Source organism: Homo sapiens, chromosome 3, assembly GCF_000001405.40.
Source record: "Homo sapiens chromosome 3, GRCh38.p14 Primary Assembly".
In the NCBI taxonomy this organism is placed as follows: domain Eukaryota; kingdom Metazoa; phylum Chordata; class Mammalia; order Primates; family Hominidae; genus Homo; species Homo sapiens.
In genome coordinates, this window is record NC_000003.12 from 14,100,873 (window position 1) to 14,112,076 (window position 11,204).

Here is an 11,204-nt window from a genome sequence, read left to right on the forward strand (position 1 = left end):
TGGGATGCAAGGTTGGTTCAACACATACAAATCAATAAATGTGATTCACCACAGAAATGAAATTAAAACCAAAAACCATATGATCATCTCAATAGGCACAGAAAAAGGTTTGGATAAAATCCAACATCCCTTCATAGTAAAAAACCATCCACAAACTAAGCATCAAAGGAACATACCTCAAAATAAGAGCTGTCTGTGACAAACCCACAGCCAACATGATACCAAATGGCATTCCTCTTAAGACTTGGAACAAGGCCAGGCGCGGTGGCTCACGCCTGTAATCTCAGCACTTTGGGAGGCCAAGGTGGGCGGATCATGAGGTCAGGAGATCAAGACCATCCTGGCTAACACGGTAAAACCCCGTCTCTACTAAAAATACAAAAAATTAGCCGGGCGTGGTGGCAGGCGCCTGTAGTCCCAGCTACTTGGGAGGCTGAGGCAGGAGAATGGCGTGAACCCGGGAGGTGGAGCTTGCAGTGAGCCGAGATTGCGCCACTGCACTCCAGCCTGGGCGACAGAGTGAGACTCCGTCTCAAAAAAAAAAAAAAAAAAAAGACTTGGAACAAGACAATGATGCCCACTCTAACCATTCCTATTCAACATAGTACTAGAAGTCCTAGCCATAGCAACCAGGCAAGAGAAAGAAATAAAATGCATCGAAATAGGAAAGGAAAAAAATCAGTAGCATTTCTATACATTAGTAATATTCAAGCTGTTACAAATATGTAATAAGTCATTCAGTTAATAGGGTTCCTCCTAAAAAAAAAAGAATGTGTTATAAGCCATGTATAAAGTAACCTTTTAAATGTGTAACTGAGTTTATAAAATAGTATGGGAAATTCTCAGGGGATTAAAATGAAGAAGAATCTGGAACTGGGAAACCAGTTGGGTTTCCAAATTGGGAAGGCAATCCCATTTACAGTAGCCACAAAACAAATAAAATACCTAAGAATTCATCTAACCAAGGATGTGAAAGATCTCTGTAAGGAGAACTACAAAACCCTGCTGAAAGAATTCACAGATGACACAAATTTAAAAACATTCCATGCTCCTGGATTGGAAGAATTAATATCATTTAAATTGCCCAAAGCAATCTACAGATTTAACATTATTCCTATGAAACTACTAACTTCATTTTGCACAGAAGTAGAAAAAACTATTCTAAAATTCATATGAAAACAAAAAAGAGCCCAAATAGCCAAAGCAATCCTAAGCAAGAAGAACAAAGCCAGAGGCATCCCATTATCCAACTTCAAACCATACTATAAGGCTATAGTAACCAAAACAGGATGGTACTGGTGCAAAAACAGACACATAGATCATTGGAACAGAATAGAGAACCCAGAAATAAAGCTGCACACCTACAACCATCTGATCTTTGACAGAGTCAACAAAAATAAGCAATGGGGAAAGGACATCATATTCAATAAATGGTACTGGGATAACTGGCTAGCCAGATGCAGAAGAATGAAACTGGACCCCTACCTATCACCATATACAAAAATTAAGATGAATTAAGATTTAAAGGTAAGACCTCTAACTGTAAAATTCCTAGAAGAAAACCTAGGAAATACCATTCTGGATATCAGCCTTGGCAAATAATTTATGGCTAAGTTCCCAAAAGCAACTACAACAAAAACAAAAATTGACAAGTAGGACCTAATTAAACTAAAGCACTCTTGCACAGCAAAAGAAACTATCAACAGAGTAAATGGACACCCAGAGAATGGAAGAAAAATTTGCAAACTATGCAATTGACAAAGTCTAATGTCCAGCATCTCTAAGGAATTTCAACAAATTTATAAGAAAAAAAAGCAACCCCATTAAAAAGTGGGCAAAGGACATAGACAGTTCTCAAAGGATGGCATACAAGTGGCCAAATATGAAAAAATGGTCAATATCACTAATCATTAGAGAAATGCAAGTCAGAACCACAATTAGGTATCATCTCCCACCAGTCAGAATGGCTGTTATTAAAAAGACAAAAAATAACAATGCCAGTGAGGCTGCAGAGAAAATGGAAAACTTATATACTATTGGTGGCAATGTAAATTAGTTCAGCCACTGTGGAAAGCTGTTTGGAGATTCCTCAGAGAACTAAAAACAAAACTACCATGTGACTCAGCAATCCCATTACTGGGGGTATGCCCAAAGGAAAAGAAATTATTCTACAAAAAGGACACAACCACTTCTATGTTCATTGCAGCACTGTTCACAATAGCAAAGACATGGAATCAACCTAGGTGTCCATCAATGGTGGATGGGATAAAGAAAATTTGGTACGTATAGCCTGTGGAATACTATTCAGTCACAAAAGAGAATGAAATCGTGTCCTTTGCAGCAATATGGTTGCAGCTGGAGGACATTCTCCCAAGTGAATTAACACAGGAACAGAAAACCAAATACTGCATGTTCTCATAATAAGTGGAAACTTAAACATTGGGCACTTAGGGACATAAAGATGGGAACAATAGGCACTGGGGACTACTAGAGGAGGGAGGGAGATGGGGGCAAGGATTTAATGGAAAACCACCTATTGGGTACTATGCTCACTACCTGGGTGACAGGATCGTTCATATCCCCGAACCTCAGCATCACACAATATACTTATGTAACAAAGACCTGCATATCTATCCCCTGAATCTAAAAGTTAAAATTACTTAAAAAAAAAAACAAAACAAAAACAAAAGAAAAAAAAAAAAAAAAAAAAAAAACCTAAGGGGAACCTGGTTTCCCAGTTCCAGATTCTTCTTCATTTTAATCCCCTGAGAATTTCCCATAGTATTTTATAAAGTCAGTTACACATTTAAAAAGTTACTTTATACATGGCTTATAACATATTCTTTTTTTTTTAGGAGCAACCCTATTAACTGAATGACTTATTACATATTTGTTACAGAAGGTCCTTCTGTGTCTCTAGTCTGTTATGTCAGCAGAAAAACCACTACTGTACATTTAAGAGAAGAGTGTCTAAGACGTTTATGTTAGGCCACAGAGTCTCATGAGAAATACTGATTTTGTGATGTCCAATGCTCCTTCTGTTATTATAATAAGCATTTTATGCTTTTTTTAATGTTTCTTATGTTTTATGCTGTGTTTCTAATTCAAAAATTGAATACTTTACTTTCTGTGCTTCATAATATTAGGACTTGCTGTCCCCATTTTAACAAAAAAGATATTTGTATAAATTGAATTATTTATATCCAGGGTGTATAAAGCTAGTAGTTCCTACAGTTCAGGAACTGAACTCAAGATATGTATCCTTAATACTTCCTTCACAGAAAATTTGTTCCTGTCCCAAACTTCAGTTTTGATATCTTTCACAGTCCCAGAGTCGTTTAGGTTGGAGTTTAACATGCTCAAAGTAGATAGGCAATTTTTATCAACTATCCTTTTGTTGTTAATACCTTATATTTTATATCTTATATTATAATTTGCTTAATTATAATGAGGATAGAGATCATGGCCTATTATATATCGATTTGACATAATTTACTAATTGGTTAGTCTAATTTATGGTCATTATTGAAATATTCTTTGGGTGCCAGAAAAAATGTGCAATCTCTTTTTATGAGATACAGTGTTATATATGTTCATTCGTTCAAACTTTTAAATTATATAATTCATTTCTGAAGTAACTAAAGAAAAATGTCTGAATAAATCAAGTCATTAAAGCAACTGAATCATTAGTAAAAATCCCTCTGAACCAAAAAATAGGATTGTAGGAATTTTTTTAATGTTGTAAATATATAATCCTTAAATAATAAAATATAAAAATATAAATAAAATTAAAATAATTTTAAAATATGGAAAGATACTCAACTCATTTTATCAGACTGGAATAACCTTAAGAGCAAAACAGAGTAAACAGAGCTAAATAAGAGAAAATTATATACCAATTGTATTGTGCACACTGATGGACTTTTCATAAATAAATGTCAGAAAATAAAATTCAGCAATGATTTAACCATAAGACTACATAATAAAATATTATCTCAATAATGCAAGGTGAGTTCAGTATCACAAAATCTGTCCAAGTAAGTGACCACATTATTATATTAAAGGAAAAATATGATCATATCTATATATGCAGAAGAATATAATCTAGAAAGTTTGGTATTCATTCACAATAAAATATTTTAGCAATCCAAATGAGAAGACAACTTCTTTAAATGGTCTACGAGCATATCTTTGGAAAACTTTTTTTTTTTTTTGAGATGGATTCTTGCTGTGTTGCCCAGGCTGGAGTGCAGTGGTGTGATCTTGGCTCACTGCAAGCTCCACCTCCCGGGTTCACACCATTCTCCTGCCTCAGCCTCCCGAATAGCTGGGACTATAGGCGCACACTGCCACGCCCAGCTAATTTTTTGTATTTTTAGTAGAGACGGGGTTTCACCGTGTTAGCCAGGATGGTCTCGATCTCCTGACCTTGTGATTCGCTGGCCTCGGCCTCCCAAAGTGCTGGGATTACAGGGGTGAGCCACCGTGCCCGGCTGGAAAACATTTTTAAAGATAAGGAAGTAGAAACATTCCTTTTAGAGTCATTAGTATGTCCATGGTGCTGATGTGAAATTCTGCTATTCAGTATTGTAAGGGATGCTCTAAAGGAAAAAAATTAAGTCTATTGGAAAGGAAAATCACCTTTTTCACATCATACGATTTTCAAAATGTAATATTCAACAGTAAGAATGAGAAACCTGTAGAAATAAGGAGTTACTTCAGCAAGATGGCTATATATAGAATCCATATTCAATCAACAGTATTCTCATTCCCTAGCAAATACATAATAGTAAATGCAATTTTTAAAAAGAATACCATTCATAGTTCATGGTACCTAGGACAAATATATAAAAACTTAAATGGAAAACTTAATAAAAACACAAATGAAGGCCCAAATAAGAGTTATGCTATAGTCATGCATAGGAAGACACAGAATCCCCTGTATAACAATTAGCCCCCAAATTAATAAACAATCAAAATTCAAAAGGATTACATTAGAAATTTACAATCCGATCTTAAAATTAATATCAGAGAACAAGCAGCCAGAATAACAATAAACATTGGAGACAGAAGAAGAAAAGAGAAGAGAAAGGAAGTAGGGAAGGGAGAGGATAAAAATAAGAGGAGAAATAAAGGACAGAAAGCTTGGCTTGTTAGATATCAAGTATAATTTCAAGTTACAGTAAATAAAACCATGTGGTGTTCATGTAGGTTTATACAATTAGACCAATGAATCAGAATGTCGAGAAACTAATCCACCCATATGTGTAAACTTAGTGTTGACAGAGGTGGCACTTTAAGTCAATTATCAAATATGGTGGGACAATTGGCTATCCACATGGAAAAACAAAAAAGACTCCTACTTTGCAAATGCCCCCAAAATATTCCAAGGGATCTCTGAAGTTATATTTCTCCTTATTATCTTTTGAGAAATTGATGTTAAAGAATAATAATTATTATATTAAAAAGAATTAACCTTACGAAAGCCACCACTTAGCTTATACAAAATGGGAGTTTATTGATGTATTTGAAGCCACTATGTATCTTTTTCTGAATGCATGGAACCAAAAAATCTCCTAAATAAATCACGTGTTGTTATTTATCTTTTCATTTTAAAGTTTTTGCTATATATTATACAAATATATCTTAAGATTTTTGTTAATTTCACAGCTTATATATATATATGGAATCATTCTGGATTCATTCCTGGAAAGTTGTTTTCTATACTAAGCCTTCTGTTTTGAGAATAATCCTTGTTGACATGTGAAGCTGTAGTTCATCAGCACTTCTTATAGAATGACATTGCATGAATCAAACAAAATATCTTTACCCAATCTTTTAGGAACATGTAAACAAGGCTCCTTTGAATATTGTTTTAGATGTTTCTTGGTCATCAATAGATGCCAAAGAGCTTATGGTCACACTAAAGGTGGGGTCACTTAGTCTGTGGAGCTGCAGGGTTCTTTTTGGGAGGTGGGAGGAAGGGAGATGAGTTTTGTTATTTTGGGGTTTTCAAGTATTGAAACCAAAGGCCAAATAATAAACAGCCTTTACATTTTAAAGTAAAATTCATTTTATTTGCAGCATACACTTGTATGGTAGACTGTGAACGACAATTTTATGACATTTATACACAGTATAATGGCTACATCTGCTATTTGTCTTTAAAATAAAAAAAGAAAGAAAAGCCCAACTTTGAATACATGGCCAAGATAAAGACCATGAATTGGTCATTCCTAAAAATGCAACAGATAGGCTGCTAGATTACGTTGTTTGCACTTTTTTTATGGGCATTTTAAAATCAGTATTTAAACTGAAGACGTTGTCATGTTTTATCAATTTAATGAATTTGAAAGTGACTGCTCTGTACATCATGACCTTAACAATGTTGATGCTATAAGTGAAAGTTCACTGTCGTCTATATACTAAATTTATGGGTGCTTCTAACTTAAAATTATGACTGCAGATTATCCCCCACAGCCTTAGTCCAGGGATGTGGCTCTATGCAGGTGCAGTACGCAGTTATGTGGAACCTTGCTTTCTAGTGCTGGGGAAAAAAAGATGTCTCTAATTACTGGTTTCAATAAACACGAATCCAGACTGCTTACAATTTTTGGTGGCTTTCTTTATGGTAAATCATCTGACTGGAGATAGATTAAATTGTCTGCGAATCGTATGGGGTATCTGATCATATAACTAAAAATGTTTACCTCTCTCACTTGAAATTATCAGAAATTCTGGAAAGAATAACATTGTAAAGCCATATTTATTTTTTATTTTACTTTTTGGAGACAGGAGTTGCCGAGGCTGGTCTTAAACTCCTGGCCTCAAATAGTTCTCCCGCCTTGGCCTCCCGAAGTGCTGGACTTATAGGTGTGAGGACCACACACAGCCTGGCTTTTTGTTTTTTTGAGTTTCTTCACATTACAGCTGACATCGTGAGTGTGAAGGTGGTAGGTATCCCAGTGACTAATGATGTTAAGGAGCATCTTATGATGTGCTTACTGGCCATTTATGTATCTTTGGAGAAATGTCTATTCAAATTCTGTGCTCATTTTTAAATTAGGTTATTTGCCTTTTGTGTTTTTTGTGTTTGTTTTTGAAACAGGGTCTCACTTTGTTGTCCAGGCTGGAGTGCAGTGGCATGGTCATGGCTTATTGCAGCCCCGGCCTCTCAGGCTCCCAAGTGTCTTCCTGCCTCAGCCTCCCAAAGTGTTGGGATTACAGATGTGAGCCACCACGCCCAGCCTATTTGACTTTTTATAATTGGGTTGTAAGAGTTCTTTATGTATTCTGGGTAATATACTATTAACAGTTATAGCTGTGTCCTTCTTACATGCCCCCATTCATCTTTGAGCATTTTCTTACTTTCTGGCACAAAAAGATGTTCCAGGCTCATCTTGCATTTCCCCTGCCTTTGACCTGGAATCAGCCATTTTTCCAAGGAGCCCTTTTAATGAGAGATTGGTTTTTGGAAACCAAGATCTGGACTATAGGCATACTTAATTTTACTGAGTGCTGTAACTTGTAGGCCTGTTGAGTGGACATACCATATCTACTTTTTCACTTAACATTGCCTGCAAGTTGGTTTATATTAGTTCATGGAGATGTTTATTCTTGTTTATGGCTACATAGTACTCAATTGTGTAATGTACCGTGGTTATTCAACCAGTCTCCTGTAGATAGGCATTTAGGATGTTTGCAGTCTTGTATTATTACATCTAATGCTGCAATGAATAACCTTGTGCATATCTTGTTTTTTATTTGTGGAGATGTGGATTCAGGGTAAATTCCGAGCAGTGGGCTTACCTACTCAAAAGGTAAATGCGCATCTGTAGTTGTTGTTAGATAGTCTCAAAATCCCTTCCATAGAGGTCACACCAGTCTGCATGCCTGTCAGCACTTGCACAGATTATTAATTCATTGTTACATTTTGCTTAAAATTGAGTTAGGAAGTTTGGTGAATAAATGTTTTGGGGACTTTTTTTTTTTAAAAAAAAGATATTTCCTGGTCATATGTGCCATATTTTCTCTATGGTCCATACCACAGAATTTGCTTGTTTCTAAATTATGCCTGTGTTTATTTACATTCATTTATGCTAAATTGTTTTCCAAATAGTTTTATAAATTTACCTCCCATACCAGCAATGTGTAAGAGTTTTCCTCTTAGCCAACACTGTGATCAACGTTTTTCATTTTCCTCAATTTGGTAAGTTTGAAATTGTAACTTGTTTTATTTTCTATTTTGTATTTCCTTGATGAATAATGAGGATAAATATATTTCCAAATGAACGTTAGACATTCTTGTTTCATTTTCTGTGAATAGTCTGTTCATGTCTTTTGCCCATTTTCCTATTGGCTTATGTGTAGTTTTATTATTAGGAGTCCATTAGATATTCTATATATTAATCTTTTGCCAATCATATGTGCTACAAATACCTTCTCTGGGTTTGCAACTGTTTTTTACCCTGTTTATGGTATCTTTTTCCAAGGTTTAAACTTTTTATTATAGAAAAACTTGAAATACACACAAAAACAGAAAGGATAGTATAATATTAGCTTTGCATTCATTACCCTGCTTCAAAAGTCATGAACTTATGGCCAATCTTCTTTTTTCTACACCTACGACTTCTCCATCTTATGTTGAAACAAATCCCATTAGTAATATAACTTCATCAACAAAAGTCAATATATTTCTATCAAATGTAGGGATTTTCCTTTTTAAACATAATCACAGTGGCATTACCATAACTGAAAATTTAATAGTATTCGATATATTAAGTGTTCAATGCTCGCATTTTCCTGAGATATATCCATTAACAATATAACCTTGGGCTAGTTATTTCATGAAAAAGGCAAGGAATGAAATTTCTGCTTTTCTGGCTCCACTATGAAAATCTAAGAGCTGCTTTTAGCTGTAGCCAGCCTGTTCATGTGCAATTACTATGCCATTTTATATCAGACTTCAGATTTTAACTTCATAATATTTTAGTAACCCATAATGTCTCAAAACTACAAGAAAGCAGCCGTTATGTGAAAATGAGTCTCTGCTGGGCATGATGGCTTACACCTGTAATCCCAGTGTTTTGGGAGGCTGAGGCAGGAGAATTGCTTGAGGCCGGAAGTTTGAGACTAGCCTGGGCAACATAGTGAGACCCCATCTCTACAAAAATAAAAACTTAGCCAGTCATGGTGGAGCACGCCTATAGTCTCAGCTACTTGGGAGGCTGAGGTGGGAGAATCGTTTGAGCCCAGGAGTCCAGGGCTGCAGTGAGCTATGATTGTGCCACTGCACTCCAGCCTAGGCAACAGAGCGAGACCCTGTTTCTAAAATAAATACATGTTAAAATCTGTACAGTCCTAGAACTAAGGACTAGAATGTAGTGTTCTATTAAGAAGCTTGGCTGATATGCTGCACTTGCCTATAACACAAAAATACAAAACAGGCTGAGCATTCCAGCGCTTTGGTAGGCTAAGGCAGGAGGATCGCTTGAGCCCAGGAGGTTGAGCCTGCAGTGAGCCATGATTATGCCACTGCACTCCAGCCTGGACAACACAGCGAAACTCTCTTAAAACACAACACAACAAAACAAAACAGACATAAAACATTGTGTTGGTAATTGCATTTCCAAATCAGTGTTATTTTGAGCAGCCCTTTGTTTCAATTATTGCTGTTCTTTAAAAATCATCAACTTGCATTTATCTGAATCATTAACTCTTTGATCTATTGGTGTTCTTACATTTAAAGATACACAGCAACTTAAATATGAATTATCCAAACCCCTTGTAGTAAAGCATAATCTCCACCCACTTCCAATTGCTTATACGGTGCCAATTCCTTATCACCAATTTGTTTTTCCAGTGATAAGTGGAAAAGGATGGAACCTTTTGCCTAACCCAAGTCGAGTTGGGCAGACAGTTCGAGAATCTCTGCTGTAAGTTACCATGGCTGGAAGAACCCAGCCCTGAAAATCCAGCACCATTATGTAACACTCATCCATTCCTTTCTGCTTTCTAGTAAATGTTGACTTCCTGGCTAGATTGTAGCTTCATGGGCAGTACCATGAATGAATCACTCTATGTCCCTAGGGCTTGGAACTGTAGATTCCATGAATGCATCAAATAAATGGGGTACATGACATGGTCACAAAACAGTAACACCTTGATTGTGACCAAAATTTTAACAAAAGAAATATCGTTTTTAAATGTGCAAAACTCTGTTAAAAGAAGTCGTTAGGGTCTGTCATGCCTTCCATGCTTGGCCAGCTCCAGGTTCTTAGCTCCTAATCAAGCAAGGTTTAAAAAAGCTCTGGATATAGAAAGCAGTTCTCTACCTCCATACACCTCCCAACCACAAATCCTTGCATTTTAACCATGCCTTCAAGCTTTAACATGGTGGCGCCTCATTCTCCAGTGTGGCAGGCAGCTTCCTGTTACTCGTATTCTTGTGTCCCTCTCCTTGAGTGTGGGCTGTGTCTCACTTCTAACAAACAAATAGACTATGGTAAAGTTATGGAATGTCCGTTTTGAGATTAGGTGATGAAAAGGCTCTGGCATCCATCTTGCTCTCTCGCTTGCTCTGATGGAAGCCACCTCCCATGTTGTGAGCTGACCCTTTAAGGCAAAGGCCATGTGGCAAGGAACTGAAGGAGGTGTCTGGCCAACAGCCAGTAAGGCACTGAGGCCCTCAATCCACAGCCCACAAGATTCAACCCACTGAACCCTCCCAGAAACCACTTCGAGCGATCTTGAAAGGCCTGTCCCACCTTGAGATGACTACAAGTATCATAGCCTCATGAGACACTGAGCCAGAGAACCCAGGTAAGCCATGCCCAGATTCCTCGTTTCAAGCTATTAAGTTTTAAGGCAATTTTTTACATAAATAACTTAACACATTTGAGACAAATGAGGCATTACTATGCCACAGCCTGAAAACTGTCTAGCAGTTACCTTAGGCAAGTTAATCTATTTTCAAACAGGAAGAGCCTTCCCCACCTCATAGACTAACTGTAATGTCTGTGTGAAGGCATCTGCTCACATATAAAATAAGTAAGCTTCCTTTGAACTCAACACAGAAAATTTTAACGGACTCAAATTGGTTTACCAATATCTTTCAAGAGGAATTTCAATTGAATTGTTCATAATTTATACTTTTTTATATAGAAAACATTTTTAACTAGTGAAAACAAAGGACACATTCAAAA